Source organism: Homo sapiens, chromosome X, assembly GCF_000001405.40.
Source record: "Homo sapiens chromosome X, GRCh38.p14 Primary Assembly".
Lineage (NCBI taxonomy): Eukaryota > Metazoa > Chordata > Mammalia > Primates > Hominidae > Homo > Homo sapiens.
This window is the reverse complement of record NC_000023.11, coordinates 108,160,076-108,187,558: the sequence shown is the minus strand read 5'-3', so window position 1 is coordinate 108,187,558 and position 27,483 is coordinate 108,160,076. Positions and strand designations below refer to the sequence as shown.

General features: G+C 46.1%; 1 protein-coding gene across 16 annotated transcripts in view, besides 3 other annotated features; it reads left to right on the top strand.

Annotated features, from left to right (window-relative positions):
* The window catches only part of COL4A6 (collagen type IV alpha 6 chain), a 283,845-nt gene that overhangs the window by 251,900 nt on the left and 4,462 nt on the right, over positions 1–27,483 (top strand). For 3 of the 16 annotated variants that reach the window (XM_006724617.4, NM_001287758.2, XM_011530853.4), the window contains 22 exons: positions 280–463; positions 3,787–3,837; positions 6,591–6,662; positions 6,937–7,044; positions 8,121–8,342; positions 8,714–8,875; positions 10,548–10,718; positions 11,762–11,905; positions 12,344–12,469; positions 12,938–13,119; positions 15,027–15,090; positions 16,098–16,172; positions 16,642–16,749; positions 16,843–16,950; positions 17,543–17,614; positions 17,939–18,064; positions 22,073–22,189; positions 22,521–22,682; positions 22,861–22,959; positions 24,521–24,667; positions 25,824–25,940; positions 26,905–27,096. In XM_006724617.4, coding sequence (XP_006724680.1) covers positions 280–463; positions 3,787–3,837; positions 6,591–6,662; positions 6,937–7,044; positions 8,121–8,342; positions 8,714–8,875; positions 10,548–10,718; positions 11,762–11,905; positions 12,344–12,469; positions 12,938–13,119; positions 15,027–15,090; positions 16,098–16,172; positions 16,642–16,749; positions 16,843–16,950; positions 17,543–17,614; positions 17,939–18,064; positions 22,073–22,189; positions 22,521–22,682; positions 22,861–22,959; positions 24,521–24,667; positions 25,824–25,940; positions 26,905–27,096 — 2,809 coding nt within the window. Of the gene's footprint in view, positions 1–279; positions 464–3,786; positions 3,838–6,590; positions 6,663–6,936; positions 7,045–8,120; positions 8,343–8,713; positions 8,876–10,547; positions 10,719–11,761; positions 11,906–12,343; positions 12,470–12,937; positions 13,120–15,026; positions 15,091–16,097; positions 16,173–16,641; positions 16,750–16,842; positions 16,951–17,542; positions 17,615–17,938; positions 18,065–20,747; positions 21,306–22,072; positions 22,190–22,520; positions 22,683–22,860; positions 22,960–24,520; positions 24,668–25,823; positions 25,941–26,904; positions 27,097–27,483 lie in introns of those variants that run through there. The other 13 variants (NM_001847.4, NM_033641.4, XM_047441813.1 and 10 more) reach the window with 8 other exon arrangements.
* Positions 8,994–9,679: an enhancer, noted in NCBI's record as "OCT4-NANOG-H3K27ac-H3K4me1 hESC enhancer chrX:107421110-107421795 (GRCh37/hg19 assembly coordinates)". NCBI's record gives its function as "activates a minimal SCP1, AML or CMV promoter by ChIP-STARR-seq in primed H9 embryonic stem cells {active_cell/tissue: H9 hESC(primed)}" and the evidence as "EXISTENCE:reporter gene assay evidence [ECO:0000049][PMID:30033119]".
* Positions 9,680–10,364: an enhancer, noted in NCBI's record as "OCT4-NANOG-H3K27ac-H3K4me1 hESC enhancer chrX:107420425-107421109 (GRCh37/hg19 assembly coordinates)". NCBI's record gives its function as "activates a minimal SCP1, AML or CMV promoter by ChIP-STARR-seq in naive and primed H9 embryonic stem cells {active_cell/tissue: H9 hESC(naive and primed)}" and the evidence as "EXISTENCE:reporter gene assay evidence [ECO:0000049][PMID:30033119]".
* Positions 10,365–11,051: an enhancer, noted in NCBI's record as "NANOG-H3K27ac hESC enhancer chrX:107419738-107420424 (GRCh37/hg19 assembly coordinates)". NCBI's record gives its function as "activates a minimal SCP1, AML or CMV promoter by ChIP-STARR-seq in primed H9 embryonic stem cells {active_cell/tissue: H9 hESC(primed)}" and the evidence as "EXISTENCE:reporter gene assay evidence [ECO:0000049][PMID:30033119]".

Here is a 27,483-nt window from a genome sequence, read left to right as displayed (position 1 = left end):
TTCTGTGATCTCTGGGGTTGTTATTATCCTGCTCATTTCTTGCCCTGTCTCCTCACCCCTATCCAGAAACTTTTGTGTTGTTAGATCACCCAGAGTAGACAAGATTCATATCCACTAACTAAAGTCAGAGGAGACTGATAGATAAACTATGGTGATGATAGATAATTTTAACAAAACACAAAGCATTGGTCACACTGGCTACCTCTTTCCTGTAGTCAGAGGACTGTCCAGATAAATCTCTGAGTTGAATTTTCATTCTTTGTTTTATATGTTGTCTAGGGTGATGGTGGACAGGGCTTCCCAGGTGAAAAGGGGTTACCTGGACTTCCTGGTGAAAAAGGCCATCCTGGTCCACCTGGCCTCCCAGGAAATGGGTTACCAGGACTTCCTGGACCCCGTGGGCTTCCTGGAGATAAAGGCAAGGATGGATTACCGGGACAACAAGGCCTTCCCGGATCTAAGGGTGAGTCATAGAATCAGATGGCTTTGGACTTGGAAATTTGACCCCTTGTAGAGTGGTTATGACTCAGGTGCATGAAATGTATCATAAGAAGAGACTTGTCTGACCATAATCACTACTTTCAACCCCCTGAAGGATTTGCATGTGAAAAAAAGTATTATAATTGTATTGTGGTAAGCTTAGGGGGCAGAATAACATAGATTTCCACCCTACTTCGTGAAGAACTTCCTACCAGAGCAGTCTGAAAATGTAACAGAGCTACTGAGGGAGGTTATGAGCTCATAATCCCTGGGAGAGTTCAAGAAGAAGATGGATGACCACTTGTTGCAAATGTCATCAAAGCAATGAGTGGGAGATTGGACAAGGTGCCCTCTAAATTGTGTGGTAATATCATCAGCTGGGAAAAACCTTTCCTCAACTCATGGAATCTCAGATTGGGCAGAAATCTAGTTGCTTATAGTCTAATCCCCCATTTTATCCCTTAACTCCTTCCTCTTTATATAACTTCTTTTTCTACTTGAATTTTAGAAATTATGTGTAACAGTCCTGCTTATAGTTTATGAAGGTGCTATGCTAATAACTAATCTTCTTCAATACAGCCAGAACAGCTGTTCATCCCAACTTTTGGGTTTCCACAACTTCTATGCTTCCATTAGTGACACCACACTTATAATAATCTGAAGTTTAAAATTTTGAGATTATCTCTTATTTCCTTTGCAATTCCTCTTATATTCTTTCCTTCTCTTATTGCTACTAAACTCTCATTATCTCATGCCTAGTTTTTCAAATACCTATATGCTTGTTGGAGTAAGTGGATGGTTGGATGGATGGATAGATGAGTGAGTGAATGACAACAACTTCCTAAGTAGTTTTTACATTCAATTCTATTAAGAACACTGCAGCCAATTTAATATCTGTAAAGTGCCAATATCATGTAACTCCCCTAGTTCAAAGCCACATATGGTACCAATTGAACAGAGATCATATAATGTCCAAACTCCTCAACTTGGAATTCAAAAGTCTCCAAACATGGATACAACCAACTTTTTCAACCTTATATCATGCTCTTAATTGAAACAAAAAAACTAAGACACCAGTCTTCTTCACTATACCCAAACACAATATGTTCACTTCCAGCTCCAAAATTTTACCATGTTGCCTTTTCCTGGAGTGCTCTTCCTCTTTGTGTAGTCATATCATATTCCTCTTTCAGGGTTCAAGATAAACCCCACTTCTTCCATTAAGCTTTCCCTTGACCTCCACAGTATGTCATTGCTACTTAAATTATATATCTCCTTCTATTACTGCTTTTACTTTCCCCAACTGCATTGTAAGTCTCTTGATACTAGGGATGGTAATACTTCTTAGAGTTTCTTTACATGCCTAGCATAGTGCAGTGTTCCATAGGAGACTAATATTTGTTTGCAGAAGAAAGAGCCTTCCCAATAACCAAGGGGCTATTTCTTAAACATATTTCTCCTGTTTCCACCTTATCATCTTGAAGAATTACAATAAAAGAAGACAGGATACCAGGTCTTGCAAAATTTTATTTATTTCCAAATCTATTTTTGTGAATCGGTGTAATAAGGTTGATGGTAGATGGTACAGGTTAAAACTTGATAATTCAAGATTCTTTAAACCGAGTCAATATATCATTTCACAAATTATTGTGAAGGTTGTAAGGACATTTTCCTTTTTTTTTTTTTTCTGAAATGAAGTCTTACTCTCACCCAGGCTGTAGTGCAGTGGCATGATCTTGGCTCACTGCAACCTCTGCCTCCTGGGTTCAAGCGATTCTCCTGCCTCAGCCTCCTGAGTAGCTGGGATTACAGGCACCCTCCACCACACCTGGATAATTTTCGAATTTTTAGTAGAGACAGGCTTTCACCATGTTGGCCAGGCTGGTCTCAAACTCCTGACCTCAAGTGATCCACCCGCGTTGGCCTCTCAAAATGCTGGGATTACAGATGTGAACCACTGCTCCTGGCCATAAGGATTTAGCAAATAAAATCATTCTGCCTGTTGGAAGTCCTAGTGTCAGCTATAGCTTTGCTTCTAGCTCTGTTCCCAGAGACATTACTCATGGTCATTCTACTGCTCCTCCCGTAATTGGGTCTTCATTGTAGGTTAAACCATTTTGCAAGCAACAAGGTTTTAAACTGAGTTATAATAACATGACACCTATAAACTTACACACTTCCAAGTCTTCTGGCTATTAGCAACATTTTAACTATTTGAGAACCAGCTGAGTGAACAGAAGGAAGCTTGCAGGACCATTTTTATCCCAAACATCACTAGTCCCTGGATACAGAAAGTTATTAGGAATATGATATGGTAAGCTATAGCCTGGGAGATGCCTTATGCAGAAAATGTTTGTCTTATTCCATTTTCTGTTGCTACAACAGGAGATCTGAGACTGGGTAATTTACAAAGAAAAGAGGTTTATTTAGCTCATGATTCTGAAGGCTAGGAAGTCCAAGATTGGGCAGCCCATCAGTTGAGGGCCTTGTGCTTCAACTCATTGTGGAAAGCAGAAGGGCATATGCAAAAGAGTCCAAACACTAAAGCAACCTTGCTTTATAACAGCCTGCTCTTGTGGGAACTAATCCATTCCCTTGAGAAATAACCCAGTCTCCCGAGAAAGAGATTAATCCATCCTAACAACCTAATTACCTCTCAGAAGCACCACCTCCCAACACAGCCACTCTGGAAACCAAGTCTCAACATGAGTTTTGGTGGAGACAAATCATATTCAAACCATAGCCATGTCCTTCTTGCAGTATGAAGAGTTTCAAGAAATTACTTTAATAAAGAGCATTAGCTTTCTTTTTCTCTCTATGACAAACAAATATAATTTTTCAAACCTACCTTTCTTCTGCACAATTTTAAAAACAAATAACCTGTGGTCCCCACACATTTGCATTGTAGCCATTTCTGTTGCTAGAAAAAAACTAAGATGCTATTCCTGAATGTGCCCACTCCAATCAATGGTAGCCCAGACTAGGACAGCTGCATTGCCAGGAAAGAGGATGCAATCATCAGAAGCCTTTCAGCCTACTAGTGTGAATTATTAAAAACTTTGGGCAAGCAGACAACTGGCTATTTCCAAAGAGGCTCTGTTCCAGATGCTCATAGTAATCAATCACCCTGGTTATTACTGAACTGTGGTGACTGTGTGCTTGATCTCATGTGGGTGCAAGTGCTCTCCACTAAGTTCAGACAAGGGATTTGGTTGGTGGGCATATCTGGGCTGCTGAGAAGACTTCCCTTGGGCCCCAAGGAACTTCTGTCCTAGTTTAATTTTCTTCTTCACTTGATTGCTCTAGGTGACTGCTGCTGTAGAGAGGTTGGTAAAGGAGACTTAGACACAGAGAGAGGTGAGAGCTAGCTAGGTCTACAAGCTCTCAGACACTAGTCTTAGCTAAACACCCCTTTTTTGTTTACCTTTGTCTCAGACAGTCACGATGGCCTGAGCACCACACTGGATGCCCTGTTTGGGGAGTGGGGAGTCTAAGGCTGGGATGCAAAGGCTGACACCAACACTGCTTCAGAGGCTCCTTAGCACATACCTCTTACAGCAGGCAGTACGGGATTGAGTGGGCATGCAGTCTCTGAGAGGGGCTGATTTCCTTCACCATGCATGTCGATAGCTTGGCTGATCTCTACCTTAAGCAAATTCATTTTCTGAACTTCACTGGGGCCATAATCTGCCTTGAGAGGTACCTGAAAGGATCCACACATGTCTGAACTTTATTCATTGGGCCCAGAACAAATTGGGATGTTAAAATCTTGGGAACCAGAGACTCTTTTTATTCTGAAGATGGATTTGGGCATTAATGGGAAAAATTCTGAATAATTAGGTCATTTGTTGCAATTACTAAACAGAACATGGGTAGAGCAGATTTTTGCTTTGTTGAGAAGGCTCTGAATTCAGGAATGTAAAGTAGAAGACAGTATAAAGGAAAAGAGCCAGATACCAATATGACTTGAAGTCCTTCCCTCTCACCATTTTGAACCTCTGCTTACAATACACAAGTGTGGTGTGGCATACAGGCATAAGACAAAATTATTGAGAGAAATATGTCGTTGATTTCCTCTGGTTTCTAACCATCTTTCCTTTGACCATTGTTTTTCTCATCCCGGAACCTTTCTGGATGCCTGTCCTCAGCTTCATATTCTAAAGGCTTTGTTTTTATCTGGCTGTCACAGATGAAAAGAAGCAATTAAATCAGTCTGATAAATTAAGGATGAATGGCTTAATAGTTGGACCCAGCCCAGGGATATTTTTATTTTACTAAGTTTGTTTCCTAAGACGTAAAACAATGGAACTGTAATGTTAGAGTTTGACACATTGGAGCCAATGAGCTATTGAGATTGTTGAGGGCAGGAGAGTCTTTTGCAGGATCCCTCTCATGATACACCCTCTGGAGGAAATTCTTCAGCCTAACTCAAAGAGCCCAGGCCTGAGCCAAGCACAAGGTTGAAAACCCCCTCCCAGTGAAGCATCTCACCATAAAGTGTTGACCTGTAGAGCATATTTCCATAGTAGGGAAATAACTATCAGAAATAGCTCTGTCATCTTGATGTCTGGCAGGGTGGAGGTGGGTTTGACCACCTACGGAGGAGGATCCAGGCCTATGGCCATCTGTTCACCTCTGGAAATATAACTGTAGAAACCTGAAGTCTGGAAGGCAGAAAGTGCTGCCCAGACTACAAGCAGTGTCACTAACCTGAGGATGGCCTTGCAGGAGCTCTACTGAGTACTCATTCTTACATAAGATAATAGTTCAAGATAATAAGAACTATTATTAATTGAGCATGTACCAGAGTGCTAGACACTGTGCTAAGTGCACAGTTTCATGTAATCCTCACACACACCATATGAGAAAAGTAGAAGTAGTTCCCATTTTGCCATGAGGCTCAGAGAGGTTTAAGTATCTTGTCCACGCAGCTGGTTAGCAGCAGAACTAGGATACCAGCTAAGGTCTGTCTGGCTTCAGAGCCCAACTTGTTAACCAATACATTATACTGTTCAATTCCCAACCTTGATTTAAGAAAATAGAAGTGGGATCAGGGGAGGATGCCAGCGAGTTCAGTAAGCAGTTTGAATCATAGGATGTGTACATATTTTTCAGAAATGTAATTTGTGATTTAAGTACAGGCAAAAGCTATAGATGTTTATTAAAACTGTTGGCTCTGTGGTTTAAAGCAGACCTTGGGGGATTGTTTTAATGAATAGGCAAGGCTTATTTAATTAGCATAGCAATTGTTTGTAAATGGCACTTGAGGGAGCCCGCAAACAATTTGTTCACCAGTATTTTATTAAACCTCCCCTCTGTGATCTTATAGATTCTTTTTATTTGCATTATGAATGGGCAAGGGAGAATTTGCTAGGGGAAGGGCTATGCATGCCAATTTTGACATCTTGAATATTAAAATTGCTACTTTTTCTCCTTGAGCAGCAGAGTTGACAGTTTCAAATAAGGAGCTGAGGGAAGGGTCACCACTTGCCTGTCACGGACAAGAGAGTGGTCTTAAGTGTTTGCATAGTACAGTCATACTGGTACATTTGACCAAGGACAATCAATAGGTTTCAGCAGATCCCAAATGAAGTGCATCAAAAGAACCCAGTGGTTTGGGGAAAACCTCATTCCAAGGAAAGGGTAAACATGAGAACTTGAGGGATCTTGGCTTCAAACCTTCCAATCTAGTCAAATAAGCATAATGGACCCTTAGGACTAACCCCCAACACCCATCCTAGGGAGAGGCTCTATCTGAGGGCAGGGTGAGTAGGCAATTGCTGTTTGCTGCTGTTCCTGCACAGGCAATCTCTAAGAAACCTTGTTAGGTAACATCTGCTGCATAGGTGACTGTTTGCCCACTGGGCATCAGTGGTTTGATAAGTGATATCCTAGCACTTGGACACTAGGAGCATTCTCATCTGTAAGCAACTGTACTGGTTGTAACTCCCCAGAGCTAATGATGCCAAGGTTTTCCAGTGTGGGCTCCCAGCTGCTGAGTGGGAAGAGCTTGGCTGTCCTATTAAATGGAATAGAAGTAAAGGAGCGTACTAGGGAGAAATCTTCCCTAACTCTGGGTTCACTGAATGCACACATGTTACCATTTACAGGAATCACCCTGCCCTGTATTATTCCTGGGTCATACGGTCCATCAGGATTTCCAGGCACTCCCGGATTCCCAGGTATGGAATGAGGCCAGAGAAAGCCACTAAACACTCTTGTAAGGGCCATAAGGCAAAGGAAGCAGAGGATAGCCCAGTAGTATTTGGGGATCCACATTCCTCCTGAGGGCAGCCTTGGGGATTGAGGAAACAGGATGGCTGCTGGAGAGGGCAGTGTGGGGAGGTGAGACAAGGAGAGGCTCTCCAAGAGACTGGGATTCTTGACTGAACATCACAAATCATACCTAGCACACCGACTTTCCTTTCCCCTCATTGCTTACATTTGGGTTTTCAGGCCCTAAAGGGTCTCGAGGCCTCCCTGGGACCCCAGGCCAGCCTGGGTCAAGTGGAAGTAAAGGAGAGCCAGGGAGTCCAGGATTGGTTCATCTTCCTGAATTACCAGGTAAGAAAAGGAGTGTCTCCTCACCTGCTTCTCTTTGTGTGTATGTGTGTGTGTGTGTGTGTGTGTGTGTATTTGGGTTGTGGTAGTCCTCTGCCAATTACAGGAAGCCAAGTTTGCTCTCTGGTGTGGGTAGGATTGTTTAATTTTATACCCTGGCAAGACACAGCATACAGCCATAGAATGACAGCATATTAGAGCAATAAGGACCATTCAAAATCAGCTGGGGCAACCCCTTAACTTTCAGATGAGGAAACTGAGGCCCAGATGGGAAATGACTTGTCCGAGATCACTAAACCACTAGTGACAGAGCTAGGACTCTGCCAGGTTGTCTGTCTGCCAGTTCTATGAGTTTCCTGGATCAACTCCTTAAGGGCCAGTGAAAGAGATTGAGATCAGTCAGAGGGAAGTTGTCCATTTCTATCCCTTTTCTCACACTCTCTTGTTCCAACTTGAGCTTCATGATTCTTCACTGTACTAGTGGTCCTCAAACTGTACTCCATGGGCCAGCATCAGCATCACCTAGGAACTTGATGGAAATGCAAATTTTCTGCCTCTCCACAGGATCTGCTGATCATAACCTCTGGGGATGGGCCCGGTAATCTGCTTGTTACCCCAGGTGATTGTGATGCTTGCTCAGATTTGAGAACTGCACTGCTCTAGGGCTCGGGGCTCATCTTGGACCATGTGCTCCAGGGTCCCCTCCAGTACCCTCTCCCCACCCAAGAAGAAGGAGGCATGACAGCAGAAGCTAGAGAACTCCAGAAGAGGTTGAACTTTTCTCAGGATGCTATGGGGTGGCGTGTGTTCTTCAACAACTGTAGGACCCTCAGGAACAGTTTGTGGACCTCCGCCCACAGCCCTGCCTCCCAGAACTAGAACCTCCTCCAGGTCGCAGGGCACAGTCCCTGCCTCTGCACAAGGCCTTGCAGGAACAGAGACTCCTGACCTTCAAGAGAAGTGACATATATTATTAATATGTTAGCTTTCATATTAGAAAAATCTGTCTCAGAGATCTGTACTCAGACAAATTGCTTCTAAACAGCCATGGTCTTTTATGTTCGCCTTTTTACGTTTAGGATTTCCTGGACCTCGTGGGGAGAAGGGCTTGCCTGGGTTTCCTGGGCTCCCTGGAAAAGATGGCTTGCCTGGGATGATTGGCAGTCCAGGCTTACCTGGTTCCAAGGGAGCCACTGGTGACATCTTTGGTGCTGAAAATGGTGCTCCGGGGGAACAAGGCCTACAAGGATTAACAGGGCACAAAGGATTTCTTGGAGACTCTGGCCTTCCAGGACTCAAGGGTGAATCTTTTTGCCCCAATTATTTAACAATCTACAGAAAGCCTTATATTAATTCGTATACTTCCATGAATACTTGCATGAATCTGGGGTGATGGTTTAATTAAGGGGTTAAAATGAAATATTTTATTCTGTCCCTCCCTTTTGTGAAATTTTCCTTAAATAGCCTGAGTCGACTTTACTGTCTTAGTAATTCCAAAAGTGACCATAACTAATAGTCAAATTTCTTGCAAAGACTGGGTTACGGCTGGGAATAGCAACAAGGCTGGAGCTGAGAAGACAGTGGCACCTGGGATAAGTCCTGGAAGTTGGTTTGCTGACCCACTCACTGCTATCTCTCCAGGCTGTGATCATTTGCCCTTTTCTTTTATCAGGTGTGCACGGGAAGCCTGGCTTACTAGGCCCCAAAGGTGAGCGGGGCAGCCCTGGGACACCAGGACAGGTGGGACAGCCAGGCACCCCAGGATCTAGTGGTCCATATGGCATCAAGGGCAAATCTGGGCTCCCAGGAGCACCAGGCTTCCCAGGCATCTCAGGTAGGTCCTTCAGAGGAAGAGTCCCACCTTGACAGACTTCAGCTAGGCCCTGGGCCCAGATGCCCTGGGGGGGCAATAGCAGTAGTGGGACATGGTCAGAATTTAGAATGAGACTTGACTTTCCTAAGCTCTCAAGTTTCAAATCTCAAGTCACCCTTGCAGTACCAAGCAGAACAGATTGCTGCAGGTTAGCTTCCAAACTGTTGCCACAAATCTTTCCCCTCCCCCCGCCTCCTCCATGGCCTCATGCCCAGTTTTCAGGTTTCAACTCTCCCGACCTCCCCAGTTAGAGAAGCCACCCTCATCGTTGAGGGAGTCTAGTCCATCTCCATGCCTTCACTGGTGCTGTGGGCAGCCTGCTTTTGGTTGGGGAGAAGCTTGAGCAGAGTGTGACCACACCGGCAGCCTGCCTCTCAGGCGAGCATGCCTCCAAGGACCCATGGCCAAGTGTCTTTTACTCAGCAGTGGGGCCTGACACTTGCTGCTTCCAGACTCGTGTTTGCAGCTTTGCCTTTTTCTCGCACCACCCTCCTCAACCTGCTTCGGTGACTGCACCATTCCCAACCGCCCCTTACTCCTGGCCTAGTGACTGAAGCTGAGTTATTTGCAGAGCCATTAATGTCCTTTTTATTCCCTTTGTCTCTCTGTGTTTCTGAGATCTTCACATAGGCTGCCTCAGTGAGAAAACACAGCACACAAGCTCACAGACTAACACCCCCAATGGCTCTGCCACTCAGGAATGTATCTGATTATACACTATAACATGGCCTTGCTTACAAGGCCAGGGATCCCTGAGCTCCTGCTGTGGGGTTGGCTCCCATTGAATTTTTCCCTTGTTGTGGAGTTCCCTTCACAGCCTCCCATTTGAATCCTGGGGCTTGCAGCTACTTGATGCTTTTCAATCCATAGAAAGCCAAGTCAGCCATTCATTTGGGTCCTTGGGGACCCAAATACCTCTGTCGTCATGATTTAATCCTTTCGTTTTTTAATTTCCTTGCTTTGTACCTGAACATTCCACTTTGGCAGCAGCTCAGGAGGTTAATCCCATTGACCAACTTTAAAGCGTGGTGAAAGACGTCTCAGAATACCTAGGAGACCAAATGGGCCTTGTGGGTTTCTACAGTACTTGGCACTAGGGGGTCTTTCAACCTTAATGCCAAGGAACTGGCTGACTTAACTGATTGCTTGAGGGATTAAAAGGGCAGCCCTGTATCCAAGGCTCCCTGGGAGGCTGAAACAACAGCTCAGCTTTAACCTCTACTTCACCGATTGGCTCAGGAAACAGCCATTGTGGCGTGATTCAGACTGGAAGTACCAGGAAACTGGAGCCTACTTGCCACCCTGGCTTCCTAGAGCTCCATTCAGGGGCTAAAGTGTAAACCACATTCACAAAGAGACAAAAAGTTATAATCAGAAGGGGTTTGCTCTCCCTGCCAGCTAATGTGCCATGCTGGAAGTAATAACCATTGGCGTGGCACTCTGGGTAGTAGATGCTAACGCTTCAGCCAACTAAGAACTCTGCCTGTTAGCAGTTTGCATGTGCTATTGTTAAAGGGCCATTTACAAAACCTAACAAGCCAAACCAATCAGAAGCTATGATATAGGCAGTGGCCCAGATCTGGCCAGAGCCTCACTTGACAGCTGTCCTGTGTTCTCTCCTGTGCTTATTCAGGACATCCTGGAAAGAAAGGAACAAGAGGCAAGAAAGGTCCTCCTGGATCAATTGTAAAGAAAGGGCTGCCAGGGCTAAAAGGCCTTCCTGGAAATCCAGGCCTAGTAGGACTGAAAGGAAGCCCAGGCTCTCCAGGGGTCGCTGGGTTGCCAGCCCTCTCTGGACCCAAGGGTAAGTGAAGTGATCAGTGAAGTGACCAGTGGTTGCCAAAAAGGAGCATTTCAGCTGCGCAGCTTGCTCCTTCCTCTCTGCCTAGGAATGGGAAATGGGGAGGGACTTGGACAGGGCTTTTTGTGTCAAGATAGTTGGACAAGGCTAGTGCTAAAGGGGGACCTCTGGTCAAGGTGAGTCACCCTCACTGCCTGCTGGGTGGAACACTAGGCTGAGTATCATGGTCAGCAAAACCCTGGGCAGTACCAGCCACACTGGGTTTACTCATTTGCATAGTCCTACCATGGAGGCTGATAGCACTCACTTCCTATGATTGCCTTGATAGCCATTGGTAGTTGGGCAGGTGGTATCTCCATTTAAAAAAAGGGAAAGTGAGTGGTTTAAGGTCACACAACTGGTTAGCAGCAGAACGAGGCTAAAGCTCATCTCCTTGCCTCCTGGCCCTAGGCTTTTTTTTTTTTTCCTGTATCACACATGAGCTATAACTCGGTGAATCATAAGAGAGGGGCCCAATTTTTTTTTTTTTTTGACAGAGTTTTGCTCTTTCGAGTGAAGTGGCACGATCTCAGCTCACTGCAACCTCTGCCCCCCAGGTTCAAGCAATTCTCCTGCCTCAGCCTCCCGAGTAGCTGGGATTATAGGCACCCGCTACCACGCCCAGCTAATTTTTGTATTTTTAGTAGAGATGGGGTTTTGCCATGTTGGCCAGGCTGGTCTCGAACTCCTGACCACAGGTGATCCACCCGCCTCACCTTCCCAAAGTGCTAGGATTACAGTGTGACCCACTGTGCCCGGCCGAGAGGAGCCCACTTCTTTCCTTTGTATTGTGTAGTGCCATGTCCCTATTCAGGAAGGTAGTATAATATGTAATAAATAAGAGTTTGGTAATGACTAAGACTTTGGAATTAGAGAAACCTGGGTTTGAATTCCTTCTCTGCAACTTCCTTGCTGTATGACTTTGGGCAAGTTACTCAACCTCCCTGAGCCTCCATTTCCTGGTATGTAAAATGGGAGTGATAATAAAAGTTCTTGTTTTTCAACAGGAGAGAAGGGGTCTGTTGGATTCGTAGGTTTTCCAGGAATACCAGGTCTGCCTGGTATTCCTGGAACAAGAGGATTAAAAGGAATTCCAGGATCAACTGGAAAAATGGGACCATCTGGACGTGCTGGTACTCCTGGTGAAAAGGGTGAGCTGGGGAATTGAATTCTGGAACTGCTGCCCATGCTTTTCAATATATATATTTTGTTTGTTGACTTGGTTATTCCTGTGGTTTGTACCAAATCTATGTTAGATAATAAAAATTTGGGCTTCTGAATTAAGTCCTTTTAAACCAAAAGACTTAATCCCCTCTTAGTTAACACTGCATGTTAAAGGCCATGTGTGCCCATTCCCGGAAGACCAGTGGAGGAAGGATTTGAGGAGAGTCTAAAGTTGCTGATAGACTTGGGATTTGTAGAAGAGGACATACACAGAAATGTGAAGTTGGGGGAATAGGGGTGGGGAATAAGATGGAAAGGCCCCAAAAGAGGGCTGTGGTGGTATGGGAAGAAATGATGTGAAAGGTCAGCCTTTGCCTGACCCTGCGTCTAAGCTCTCTTTCTCATGCTGATCTCCATCCCTGCAGGAGACAGAGGCAATCCGGGGCCAGTCGGAATACCTAGTCCAAGACGTCCAATGTCAAACCTTTGGCTCAAAGGAGACAAAGGCTCTCAAGGCTCAGCCGGATCCAATGGATTTCCTGGGCCAAGAGGTGCTGGGGCAGGGGATGGATAGGAGAAATGCTCAAGAGAGGCTTCATAACCAAACTTGGCTTCCTTCTTGAGCAAAGGCCCTCAAGTACAGCCCCCCATCGCCAACCTCAGAGCAGCAGTGTGGCTGGCAGCAAGGAATCCAAGAAGGCTGCCTCCCCTGGGCCTGAAGGCTGCCTGGACTTTGAGACTGCCATTTGTTATTGCCACTGTAGAACTGAGGTTTTCAACCACAGGCAGTGGTACCCCTGGAGGACCCTGAGCACTGTGCTGCTTTCCCAGTGGTATAGCAGAAGCAACTCTGTCGATGCCCCATAAGACTGAAAGCATCTCTCCCCACTTCACCTTTACCTTTAAGCTAACTGCTCCCTGAGCCTGCACTTGGCCTGCGACCTGGGGCACCTGCATCTTGGCAAGCTGGGTTTTTCTTGCCCAGTGTCTTTTTCCAAGTCTTTTTATTTCTTTTACAGGTGACAAAGGAGAGGCTGGTCGACCTGGACCACCAGGCCTACCTGGAGCTCCTGGCCTCCCAGGCATTATCAAAGGAGTTAGTGGAAAGCCAGGGCCCCCTGGCTTCATGGGAATCCGGGGCTTACCTGGCCTGAAGGGGTCCTCTGGGATCACAGGTTTCCCAGGAATGCCAGGAGAAAGTGTAAGTGTGACCAGATCTTTGTCTTTATACCAGAAAAGGCCCCCCATCTCACGGGGATATACCCCCACTGCCCACCTCTCTGATCCCAGCTTACTTCTCAGCCCCTTCTCCCAGGACATCCTCAGAAAGAGTTCTCTCCTTGAGTCTGACAGGTCTTCCCACCCTTTCCTGAACATCTCCTCCTCTGTTCTTTTGTTCACATCTCCCTGAAATGGCAGAGCCTTCTCTTGCCTTTACAATTATCCAATATCTGCCTGCCCTTCAGTCCCCAGCCCAGGCACCATCTCCTCCAGGAGTCCCTGAGCTCCCACCCAGCTGCCACTCTATACTTATCACTGCTGACATCAATTCTAGTTGCTTCTGTGTGGGTCTGACTTCCTCAATGAGATTGTTACAGCTTGAGAACAAGAACTACCTTACATGCTTTTTTCTCTGCACCCCACTGCCAGCATTTCATGTTGAGCCTGGCACATTGTAAGAATTCGTAAAAACTTCTTGACGTTTTGCTAGAAAGGTCTTTGAAGCTCCACAAGGTGCAACGACTAGCAAAGAATCAAGTCCAGCTTATCTGGGCTCATACAAGGCAAGGTGGAAGAGGTGGCTTAGCAATGAGACCAACCTGGATTTGAACCTCAGCTCCATTGCTCATTAGCTCTGTGATCTTGTGCACACTGTTTACCTTACCTAAACCTCACTTTCCTCATCTGTAAAAATTGGGAATAATATTTAAATAGCCTTCAGACAGTAGGGAGGGTTAAGTGACATGACTCATGTAAAGCTCTTAACATTGTGTCTGGCACATAGCCGGCTCTGCATAAATAGCAGATGTATCAAATGGTCTCAATGAATTGAATCACAGAACACCTGGGCTCCTTGCAGGCAAAGTCCCTGAACTTCAAAAGTGTCAGTCCATCTGATGGAGAGAACTTGGTGTGTGCGTGCACACACACACACACACACACACACACACACACACACCTGAAGCAATTGAAAATAAATAGTTCTAGACTGGATAGTCCTGACTACTTACATTCTAGGGGGATGAAAACAAAGTGGGAATGCATTCTAGGAGAAGTCCCAGCATGAACAGAGGCTCAGAATTAGAAGATATGGCAATGTGCCTGATGAAGCCGGGCAAGGAAGCAGCCACGATGGAGGGGTGTCCTGGGTAGTGGTCCAGTGCACACAGTGACCCAGCCCAGTACTCAGCCTCCTACCCAAAGCACTAAGTGGCATAAATCTTTACTGGATACTGGGTAAATCTCAAAATGAACCAAAACCATAACAGATATCAAGAAAAGAACTTTGCTGATGGCAGCTGACATGGCCACTTCCCAGACTCAGATAGTGTGTTGGACATTAGCCAGTGAAGGCAGATTTTCCTCTGAAAATGGTAACATTTGCCCAAATTCAGACTCCAGCACCTGCACACATACCACCTGCTACCTGGTGGCAGAAAGAACTTGTGTTCCTTGCGGAACCTGTGGCAGAGGGCTAACCCTGCAGGGTGAAGTGAAACTTCTTCCTATGCATAATGGCTCCAGAGCTTTGGCAAGGACAGTGGTAGCCAACTGTGTGTTGAGTCCATTGAGTGCCTGGCCTGTCATCTTCTGCATTTTCTGAGAGACTCGCTAGAATGGCCACACTGTGACTTTCTAAGATTCCCATTTTGATAAGCAGTGGAATCGAATCCTTCCCCTACAAACCCTAAGTATGTGCTCTGCCCTTTGTTCATCACCTTCCCGTTTGCAGGACATAACATCCCCACTTCCAGCCCACAGTCCACCCTTGCCACAGAATACATGATGGACATCTCTCAGGCAGTGGCTCAGTGAGGGGTGAGGAAGTAAGAGGGTGGGCAGTCCTGAGCTCTGGGCAGAAATGATGATTCCCATATTGCTTCGAAGGGTTCACAAGGTATCAGAGGGTCGCCTGGACTCCCAGGAGCATCTGGTCTCCCAGGCCTGAAAGGTAAGGAGCATTTTTTTTTTCTTTTAATGTTTTCTTCTAGAGCAAGGTAGATTTCTAGCAGGCCCAAGGGTCTCTCTCTTTTTTTTTTTTTTTTTTTTTTTTTCTTTTTTAGGCAGAGTCTCGCTCTGTCACCTAGTGTCACCTAGGCTGGAGTGCAGTGGCGCAATCTCAGCTCACTGCAACCTCTGCCTCCCGGGTTCAAGCGATTCTCCTGCCTCAGCTTCCTAAGTAGCTGGGATTACAGGCATTAACCACCACACCCGGCTAATTTTTGTATTTTTGGTAGAGACGGATTTCACCATGTTGGTCTGGCTGGTCTCAAACTTCTGACCTCGTGGTCTGCCCACCTCAGCCTCCCAAAGTGCTGGGATTACAGGCGTGAGCCACTGCACCTGGCCATCCCAAGGGTCTCTTGCGAGGGTAGCGGAGAGTCTGTGTTTAGGGGAAAGTCAATTAATTTACATTTTCCCTTTGGCCAAACCCCTTTTGCAGTCCTTGTTCCTCACAGACAATGCAACAAACAATGGTACTTACCAAGATCTCTCTCTGTGGCTTTCATGGATCCAAGGAAAAGGCTGTCCTTTGGCTTTGTGGTTTTGCCCATCTGCTTTCCAGACTTAGCAGCGAGGAGAACCTCGGCTCCAGTCTCTTCCCCTGATAAACCCAGCCCACTAGGCAGGAAAATTTCCCATTCTTGCTGGCATCACTGTTCCATTCTGGTGATGTTTGAGGGCCCTGCCTACCATCTTCTCTGCCCATACTGAGCCTAGTGATGTGTTTCCCAATGGAGATATGCTGTATGTAGCAGCATTTCATGCCAGTAGTCTGGTAGCAGCATCCCAGCTCCTGGATGGTGGTTCATCACTTTTTACCCAATAGATAATTTTGTCAAGGAGCTCCTCTGGCTACACTGAATCTGAAAAAAAAAATGTGTTCAAAAGATCTCAGTGGTGCAAAATGAGCTATAGCTTCTCCTGGCCATTTAAACAATGTATTGGAATCCTCAGGAGACAACGGCCAGACAGTTGAAATTTCCGGTAGCCCAGGACCCAAGGGACAGCCTGGCGAATCTGGTTTTAAAGGTAAGGTTGCTATATTTTTGTCTTGTTTGCCTCACAGACTCCACAAAACTGAGGATTAGAAGGAATTTTGGAGGTCAACCCCAAGTTCTGCAACTTCTATCCAGTGCAGAAAATTTCCTATCTATCAATTCCCCAAGCAAATCAGCCTACTCTTCCTTCAAGACTCATAGACTGGCAAAGACCTTTGGGATAATGGCCTACATCCCCTTAGTTTAGAAGTTGTTATCTAAACTGTCCTTCTTGAACATTTCCACTTATTGCTCCCACTTCTGAAGGGATACTCATAACAAATTTACTTGCTTCTCAATTGTAGGGCACCTTTCTAATGTGAAAACAGCCACCACTATCTTTTTTAGAGTTTCTTCATTGGGTCTAGCTCCTTCAGCAATTCAGAATCTACTCTTTCCCATAGAGGAATACACTGCTAGAAATATGGCCTAATCACTCAGCATTTTTCTTGGTTTTATAGGCACAAAAGGAAGAGATGGACTAATAGGCAATATAGGCTTCCCTGGAAACAAAGGTGAAGATGGAAAAGTTGGTGTTTCTGGAGATGTTGGCCTTCCTGGAGCTCCAGGTACCATGCCACATGATAACCTTATTCTGAAAGAGTTTGGATTAGCTTCAAGCCATGCCCCATTCTGAACCTCTGCCTTGGTTTCACATTTAGGATTTCCAGGAGTTGCCGGCATGAGAGGAGAACCAGGACTTCCAGGTTCTTCTGGTCACCAAGGGGCAATTGGGCCTCTAGGATCCCCCGGATTAATAGGACCCAAAGGTATGTGTATTTGGGAGCAGGCAGTGGGGAAAAGTCTTTCCCTCGATGAAGGACACCAACTACTTTATCTTAGAAGATACTAGCTAGGGTTAAGCCATGCCTACAGGAGTCATTGGACATGAGGAATCATGGGAAAGGAAGATGAAGAGTAATGAAGGCAGGCAAGCATGAGTGTGAAGAGAAGAATATGGGATCCATGAAGAGAAGAGCTAGCAAGGAAGGCAATTGCCCTGGCATGTGTAGCCTTTCCCTGACTTAGAGATTGGGCAGTGAGTTTCTGGAACCAGTCTCTGGGAGCTGACAACTCAAGGTCTTGACATTGCTACTCTGAGTTCTTCTTCAAGATACCTAATGAGCTGCCATCTTACTCCTAAAGCTGTATTGGTCTCTGATAAGAGTCATGAGAACCTGTGGTGTAGGATATAGGTTGGGAGTGTTTTCTTCTCCCTTAGGGCATTAAGTAAATGCCTCAAAAAAGACCAGGACTTTAAAATAAGGACCTCGCAATGCCTTTGGGGGCAGGTAGCTACCTCTTGCTGATGCTTCATGATTCAGAGTTGCTGGAGCCATTTTTGACATTCTCTCCCCTCAGGCTTCCCTGGATTTCCTGGTTTACATGGACTGAATGGGCTTCCGGGCACCAAGGGTACCCATGGCACTCCAGGTTAGGAAGACCCTCAGGGTGAAGAGGAGGGCATCAGCTCTTCCAGAAGCCTGGCAAGGGCTGGCCATGAATTCTCGACTGTGGTGTATCCCATATCCTTGGACTCATAGCTCTCCTTATTAACCTCCAATTTGAGGTCCCTTGATATGGAGAAGAAAGAGGATGGGTTTTTTTCTTCTACTCAGATTAACTTTCTTTCTTGTTACTTCAGTACTCTGCCTCTGGTGTCTGTCAGTCAGGCTTCTCAGGCCACAGGCGAGTGAGTTAGGCAGGAAGGCCTCACCTCCACTGAGGTCTGCCCCCTACCCCTGCATCTCCTCCTAGGACCTAGTATCACCGGTGTGCCTGGGCCTGCTGGTCTCCCTGGACCCAAAGGAGAAAAAGGATATCCAGGAATTGGCATCGGAGCTCCAGGGAAGCCGGGCCTGAGAGGGCAAAAAGGTGATCGAGGTGAGTCCAAGTCAGGCCTTGTAGAGGCTGAGTGAGGCCTTGCTGGGAGAGTCAGGTTTAGGGTACAGCAGGGCCATGTGGCTCACAGGGTTGGGCTGTGAGTGTCTTCACATCTCTGGGAGTCTCACAACCCAGTGGGAATGACTGCTGAGAAAGAGAGGTTAGGCTGTGCTTAGCATTTTCCAGTGAAGACTGTCAGGGCACAGTTCACCAAGTCCATTTTAGCCTCCAGATTCTCTTCTGTTCCTCCTTACTAACCTCAAGCCTCTCTGGCATGCTTGGTCAGAGCTTGCAATTATTGGTCCTGAGGGACAGGGCTTGTCCATTTAGTGAGAGGTTGGCTGGCATTTCCTCAGCGTCCAGTGTGGATGGCACTCCCAGGGCCCTGGGAAGACAGTGTGGCTGCGGGAAGGATCCCAAGACTAAGATGATACAAGTCTCCACCGGACAGAACCACAGCATACCCTCAACTAGAATTTGTTGGGTTTACTAGAAAGCAGGTTCTACCCTAATCTCGGCCCCTGACTCATCACATGGCCTGAAGTCCCTTTCTGAGTCTCCCTTTCCCCACCTCTCAGAAAGTAAGAATGACTTGTGTTCTTCAACTTTTCCTCAGGAAAGTTCCAAAAACCCGTGTACATTCCACTCCATGTTAACCAGGAAATGAATTCACCATAGCATCATGGTTAAGAGTATGGGCTCTGAAATCAGACTAGCTGGGTTCAAATTCAAGCTATACCTCTCACTAGCTATATGACTTTAAACAAGGAAGTTACTTGTTCCTCAATCCCAAATGAGCCCTTAGTTTTCCTTTTCCATAAAATGAACATTATAACAGAACCTACCTCATAGGTTTTTTGAGGAATCAATGAGGAACGAGGTAAGATATACAAAAGCTCAGTGCCTGGCACATAGTATATACTTAAGAATATTATTGCATGTTACCTGGGGAAATCATATTTGCAAAATTTCCTGTTTCTCTCTGCTCTGGGGCTTGAGGTCTCACCGCATTTTGTTTATGTGCATGTTTGTGTACAGTGTGTATGTTTCCGAGGGACTATATTCATATATTAATTCATTTCCTGCTGCATTTTAAATTGATGCATCTGCAGTTTCTGTGTTTGTTCTTCCCTTTGATCTGGACCAAACTGTTCTTTTCTGAAAGCCAGCAGCTTCTCCAGAGGAAGGGCTCAAAGCAGGGTCCGAGCCTGCCCAGAGACTGTCTTCTTTCATGGGATATAGGGAAAAGGGGACTGGATAAAAACACAGGGACATTTTCTTTTGTTTTCAAATCTTGATGGTCATTAGATTATTCATTTTCTTTAGCTATCTGAGATAATAAAATCACAATTATGCATGTAGTAAACAGCACAGGTCAAGAAGGATACATTTCAGCAACATAGCACTAAACAAAAAACAAACATGTCACAGAGGAATACATTTGGTATGATTCCATCAATAAATGTTCAAAAATAAGCGAAACCAACCAATACATTGTTTAGAGATATACATGGTCAAACTGAAGAAAAAGGAAGAGGATGATGAACAAAATTCAGGAGTGATTGCCTCTGAGAGGAAGGGAAGGAAGAGGGTGGAGGGCACACAAGGAAATTCAAAACAAGTGACATCTTCTTAAGTTGAGTGGTTGAAACACAAGTGTTCATTGTATCTGAATTATTCTTTGCATATTATAAATATTATGTCATATCTTCTCAATATCTAATTAAAACAATTTCTTTAAAAAGAATACAAGAAATATCATACCACGCCCCACCCCACCCCCACAGGAACCTATCTTTGATTTGACAACGGGAGTCAGTGCAATATGATGATTTACTCCTAAGAAAACATCACAGAGTGGTTGGGTGCAGTGACTCATGCCTGTAATCTTAGCACTTTGGGAGGCCATGGCAGGCAGATTGCTTGAGCCCAGGAGTTGGAGACCAGCCTAGGTAACATGGTAAAACCCTGTTTCTACAAAAAATACAAAAATTAGCAGGGCATAGTGGTGTGCGCCTGTAATCCCAGCTACTCGGGGGCTGAGGTGGGAGGATTGCTTGAGCCTGGGAGGTTGAGGCTGCAGTGAGTCCTGACCACATCACTGCACACCAGCCTGGGCAACAGAGCAAGACCCTATCTCAAACAAACTAACCAATAAAAAAACTTCATAGAGCAATCCCTCTCATTACAGTACTGTTATCTAAATAACTTTCAATGATACTATTTGTTTTCATATTTGCACTAAATACGTAGAGGCTGCATTTATGTATTTTGTTTTTTCAAGGCTTTGACACTGGACTGAGTTGGAAAAATGGGCTGTTTTGCATTTTCATCTGCTCATTTAAAGTGTTTTATTGTTAAAGAAATGCATGAGCTTTTTGCAATACTTGAAGTCAGTAGTGCCTTTATTTCAGGTTTAATAACACGTAAGTGTAATTATAAAATTAAGAAACAGGTAAAGGGAGAAAAAGTCTCCAAAAACTGCCATGGGAACTTTTATAATTTGTGTACTGCCCACCACTGCCTACTCTATTACACATGTGGTGTCTTGTTTATTAGTTTTGCATAATTTCAGTTTATATATATAAGCTATACATATATATGCTTTATATGTATATATACATAATATATGTGTAGAGCTGTATTTTCAGAAAAAAAGTATACAATATGTCTTTCTTTTCAGATTTTTACCCTGGGGATAAAGAAAAATATTTCAAAGGTTCACCAAACCAGAAGTAACAATGCTATGAGTACCACCACGTGGCTTAGCTACTAGTTTTCTTTTTGTGTTTTTTCTTTTTTCCGGACCTAAGAAACCTAGAGAGACTTTTCTCAAAATTTATTTTTTCTTTGTCTAAATTTCAAGATTCAATTAATTAATGAGCTATTTAAAAACACCCAAATCTACCATCACTTTTATAAATTTTCATGGATTTACCTTAATAAGAGAAATTCAGCATATTTTTGCATTTTTCTTGTCACAAAAGATAAAATTCGATATTAACATTTTTGGATTTTCTTGTCGCAAACAAAAATTAAGAATCTCAACCACCAGAACAGTTTATCAACCAGTTTGAATCCATTTATCTTCATTTGAATATCTTCTAGAATATCCCAAAGTAATAAATATATATCTTCCATGCTACATGTATAATATCAACACCTACATTTGTGTTTTCCCATCAAGATTACCATCTATGTATTTGATATGTGAACATTAAATAAATCTTCTGTGATCAGATGAAAGTTTTGGTTTTGAACATATTACAATAGAAATAGTTCCACAAACAGAAAACATGTAAAGCAGTATTAAAATTAGAGCAAATGAGTATTCTGTATCTATTGTAATAAGTGGTTATTCTCTTTGGCCAAAAAGGGGGGAGGGATTTAGTACAGAGATATTTGTTCCATAGGCAATTAAGCAATCACTTGGCTCATATCATGAATGACCTATAAAAGATTGTTTTCCAGTTTGCCTAGAAATTGCAGAAGATAGCCCTAGAAGACACAGAGGCACCGCATTCTTGCTGCCTCCATTCTGATCGGCCTGGTGTCTGTTCTGACTGGCTGGGGCCTGTGGCCTACGTTCTGTAACCTTTGTGCAGCATCAGACATAACTGGCTAACTTAAGAGGTGTTTTTTGACACAGACAGGTTTAAAATCACTTTGGAAACTTAAAAGTCCAGGTGCTCAGTCATGCCTTCTTTTCTTTCTGGTGTGGGGGAAGTTGGCCTAAAATATTTCCATTACCAGTGAGGTAAGGGAGCTAGAACTTTCCAATAAAATGCAGCTCCAGCTGGAAAAGGGGAGTCTCTGAGCCCTTGTCAGTTAGTCTGCTTTCTGGGAAGGAAGGATTAGGGAAGAAGAGCCCTCTGCTGGCGTTCTCTGGTCTGGCTCCTACCTAACTGCTTCCATTTTCTCTGTGTGAGCTTCCATTTTCTCTGAAAGAGCCTGGCCATCTTCTGGGCACACAGAGCCTATCCAGCCCCTTTTATTTATTCTTTACAGGTTTCCCAGGTCTCCAGGGCCCTGCTGGTCTCCCCGGTGCCCCAGGCATCTCCTTGCCCTCACTCATAGCAGGACAGCCTGGTGACCCCGGGCGACCAGGCCTAGATGGAGAACGAGGTAAAGACAGGAAGCCCAAAAGAGGGCTAGCCACCACCTTTTGTCTGACATTTGGGGAAGTCATGTATACAGCGCAGCCAAGTCCCTGTTGCTGGACATATGTGGGCGTGTTTGGCTTCACATCCCTCCCCGAGTGGGGACACAGGGGACTTGAGCCAAGTGCATTTTGCTAAAATGGTTTGGGAAAGTCTGGGCACTAGGACCCCACCGATGGTGAGGGAACATTCTCTGTCCTGGGAATGGGCTTTGGAGTCCTGTCAGTCCCTAGGCCTTCTGCAGTGGCTACTACCTGTTCACCTGCCCCTCGCCCCTCTTCCGATCTTATCCCTAGGCCGCCCAGGCCCCGCTGGACCCCCAGGTCCCCCTGGGCCATCCTCGAATCAAGGCGACACCGGAGACCCTGGCTTCCCTGGAATTCCTGGACCTAAAGGGCCTAAGGGAGACCAAGGAATTCCAGGTTTTTCTGGCCTCCCTGGAGAGCTAGGACTGAAAGGTACGGCTGCTCGGCTGGCTGCTGGGCCCTTCCCCACTCCACGGCCAGGACTCCTTCCTGCAGTCCTGTGAAGAGAGGCCGGTGGCTGATGTTCTTCCCTACCTCACCCCTGCCTATCCTCCACCCCTACCACCCCTACCATGCCGGGACCTGACTTGCTTCCTTTGGGCTTTGTCAGGCATGAGAGGTGAGCCTGGCTTCATGGGGACTCCAGGCAAGGTTGGGCCACCTGGAGACCCAGGATTTCCCGGAATGAAGGGGAAGGCAGGGCCAAGAGGTAAGTTGAGAGCATGTGCTGGGCTGATCCAGAGCTCGAGGGAGGGGCCTGGTGGTAAGGTTCCTTCAGGCATCATTGCTCACCACGCCAAGAAAGTCTGGATGTCTAAAACAGCTGGATCAAGGTACCCCAGAGAGGCAGTTTCTCTACCTTGGGGATCCTTCAGCCTCTATCACCTCCCAGGACTGAAGACCACTGCTGCCTTGCCACCATGGATCCTGCTACTGACTGCCTCTCTGTGTTAATCTCTGCATTAGTGGGCATTGGGTTTGCACTCAGATCACCACCCACCCGTTTGCTCAATTCAGAAATAAAGAACCGTCTTTTGCATCCTTTCCCACCCTCACTCACACACATGCAATCTAGTAGCAAGCCCTGAGGCTTGTACCTCCTAAATGTGCCTTGCATCTGTTCACCTCGCAGTACCTTGGTTGCTACCCCCAGATCCAAGCCACCAATAGTTCTCATGCAGCACCCTTCCTCCCCCGACCCTAGTGGTCACTTTTCCACATAGTGGCCAAAAAGAGCTTATAAAAACATAAATCATCCAGTGGCTTCCCATGGCGTAGGAATGAACTCACCGTGGCACGCAAAGCCCTGTGTGATGCCTCCCTCTTCATCCTCATGGCCAGCCCTTCCCCTTTGCTGCTCACTGTGCTCCTGCCATACTGGCCTCTTTCAGTTATCCAAAAACACCAAGTCCTGGCCTACCACAGGGCCTTTGCACATGCTACTTCTACTTCCCAGAGTGCACTTGCCCCTCTACTCTTTAAATAGCAAAGTCCTTCTAATGTTTTAGTGGTCTCAGTTTAAATGTCATTGCTTGCAAAAGGCCACTGATCATTCTCTAAAACAGATGCCTCCACCCCATACCACCCTCTGCTCCCTCCCAGTGTCCCTGTGTTAGTCCTTTCCTCCACAACACTTCTCCCAACTTACACTCAGATTAACAGTATTTGTCGAGTTAGGCATTATTCATCTTCATCACCAGACCATAATCTCCATAAATGTCTGTCATATTCATTGCTCTATCCCCAGAGCTACCAGGACCCTGGCATATAATAAGCACTGGGGAAATATTTGTTCAATGACTTACTAAGCAAATTATGCTATTAGAAAGGCAGCTGGCTGGCGCCGGGTTCCTAGGCTGGGATGCCAACTGAACCTCTGGGGTTAGAAGCGTCCCCTCAGCCTCCTTGGCACTGTGCTCTAACCAGTGAGTAAACCAGCCACCCCAGCCCTGAGAGAAGGCTCAGCTCACCATATTAGCAGCAAATGCTTCTGGACTGCCTGTCACCCACTGGGCACAATGCTGGGCCCTGAGGAGACAGGATGAATATGACCCAGTTCCTGCCCTCTTGGAGCTACCCAACCACTGGGGAGAGAGATGGATAAAGATTGTATAATATCACACAGTGCCATCCTGGAGATACCCGGGTATCCTGTGGGGACAAACAGGATAGAAAGCTGTTGATTGCAAGTTAGTAAAGAAGGCTTCTGGGGCCCCCGTCACCTCCCTCTGCCTCAGCCTGATGTTCTTATTTCCCCCACCTGCCCACAGGCTCTTCTGGCCTCCAAGGTGATCCTGGACAAACACCAACTGCAGAAGCTGTCCAGGTTCCTCCTGGACCCTTGGGTCTACCAGGGATCGATGGCATCCCTGGCCTCACTGGGGACCCTGGGGCTCAAGGCCCTGTAGGCCTACAAGGTGAGGAGGGTGCCAGAAAAAGGAGATTTGTTGGGGAGTTGAGACAGTTTGGCTGAGAGGCTGGCTTGGATGTCCACCTCCAAGGGTGTGTCTTCATCAAGCGTTGCCTCTCTTCCTTCACAAAGCTCCCAAGCTTCCTGTTGGGGAGAAGAAGGGCCAGCAGGACCAGCAGGGTGGTTGTACTTGGTACTTGGCTTTAGAGGATGTGAGGGCAGAGCAAGGTTGCTACTCCAGACCACTCGCCCCTCTCTAATGTGCTGCAGAGAGATGGAGGGAGTGTGGTGGTGAATAAAGGGCCACACAAGACAATGAAAAAAGTCCAAGGCTGGGGGACAGAAAACCTGGCCTCTAATTGGAGTAAGTTAGAAGTCTCTCTGGGTCTCAGTGTCCTCATTTTCTTCCTCTTCTTCTTCCTCTTCTTCTTCTTCTTCTTCTTTTCTTCTTCGTCTTCCTCTTCCTCCTCCTCTTCTTCTTCCTCTTCTTCTTCTTCTTTTCTTCTTCCTCCTCCTCCTTCTTCTTCTTTTTATTTTTTTTTATTTTTGAGATGGAGTCTTGCTCTGTCACCGAGGCTGAGAGTGCATTGGTGCCATCTCACCTCACTGCAACCTCCACCTCTCGAATTCAAGTGATTCTCCCGCCTCAGCCTCCGGAGTAGCGGGGACTACAGGTGCATACCACCACACCCAGCTAATTTTTGTATTTTAAATAGAGACAAGGTTTCCCCATGTTGGCCAGGCTGGTCTCGAACTCCTGACTTAAGGTGATCTGCCTGCTTTGGCCTCCCAAAGTGCTGGGATTACAGGCATGAGCCACTGCGCCCAGCCTCGGTGTCCTCATTTCTGATATGGGATGCTCGCCGTTGCCCTGCATAATTTCCATTGTTGCTAGGAGGATGAGAAGAAGGGAGGAGGAAGTGGGCATGAAGGGGCTCAGAAAGGCTAAGTTGAGGGCACTGCCCCAGGGCAGAGATGCCCCCATGAACTAAGAACTAGCCCAGGCGGCTGCAGCCTTGATGTGCAGTGTGCACACCAAGTCGACAGCCAAGTGCATCGTCTCCTAGTGAGTCTTGGGCATGACACATAAGTCCCCTTTCCTGGGGAAGGTGCCTGGGGACCCTCTACATTGAGTACCCTCCTTTGGGCTTTCTCTCCTGCAGGCTCCAAAGGTTTACCTGGCATCCCCGGTAAAGATGGCCCCAGTGGGCTCCCAGGCCCACCTGGGGCTCTTGGTGATCCTGGTCTGCCTGGACTGCAAGGCCCTCCAGGATTTGAAGGTCTGATGATGCCACATTAGGAGGCGGGCGGGGCGGGGATGGTGGTCTGGGAGGGTTTGAGGCTGGGGGTGAGTAAAACTTCAAGTCTGAAACTTAATAAACCCAGTGGTAGAGCTTGACACTCCTAAGATGCTCAAAAACTGGGCTCTAAGTCCATTCACTCCCCACTACCCTCTGAGCCTGTGAAGGGATACCCTACGTTCTGGAAGGCAAAGGACTGTTCCAAATCCAAATCCTTTTCTGGGCTCTCTTCCAGTGCTTAAAAGGTCTGACTTTATACTACAGATGGCCCCCTGCCCTTTACCTCCCCTTTTCTACCCAGGGATTCTGACACACATGAGAGGGGGATGTTCAAGGGATAACAACACTTGAGTTAAGGCGTGGCTGTCCATATACCTCTTCTATTTGTGTCCCACTTTATATTGGGGATGACAAATTAGTTGTCCTGAGTAGAGAACAGTTCAGAGGCTCGGTGGGAAACTGTGGCAGTTGATTTGTCATGTCTGTCATGGGCAGGAGAGGAGGGCAAGATTTTACCCTGCTAATCCTAACCCTGCTTTCGATGACTCTGATTCAGCAGCTACATAGTTATCTCCTATGAGGGCCTGCAAGGCTGGACCTGAGAAGTATCCCTCTCCACACCCTAATCCCCACTCAGAGAGACCCCAAGGCCAGGTGGCTATGGGAAGGAAGCCTAACAATGTACTTTGAAAAATGGGGCGTCTGTAGCTGGATACATCTGAGATAGAGTTGTAGCTCTACCACTTACTAGCTGTAGGACATCTGAGCCTCAATTTCTTCATCTAAAAATTGGGGTGGTAATACCATTTTCCAGGGTCATCGTGAGGATTGAGTGAGATAATACATGTGTATAACATGCCTTGGACAATGTGTGGTACAATGTGAGTAGCTGATGTTGTCATTAGCTGCACCACACTCACCTTTTATGATCTGTCTCTCTCAGGAGCTCCAGGGCAGCAAGGCCCCTTCGGGATGCCTGGAATGCCTGGCCAGAGCATGAGAGTGGGCTACACGTTGGTAAAGCACAGCCAGTCGGAACAGGTGCCCCCGTGTCCCATCGGGATGAGCCAGCTGTGGGTGGGGTACAGCTTACTGTTTGTGGAGGGGCAAGAGAAAGCCCACAACCAGGACCTGGGTAGGTACCAGCTCTGACAGCCAGCCCTGGTCACCTGTCCCCACAAACACCAACAGCCAACCCCTCTCTTCTCCCAGCCCTTTCTAGGTCCACTGTTGTGTAGTGAGTTACAAGCATCAGCTCTGGAGTCAGGTGGATCTGGATTCAAATCCTGGCTCTATCACTTACTAGCTGTGTACACTGCATTAGTTATTCAACCTCTCTAGGCTTTGGCTTCCTCCTTAATGGAACAAAGCTAATTCTAGTATCTATCACACACGCTGGTGGAAAGATTGCATGAATCAATCACCCAATGTAAATTGCTTAGAGCAACATTTGGCATTTAAGCATCCATTAAATGTTAGCAATTAGTAGTAGTAATAATAATAATATGACCTGCAGGGCAAT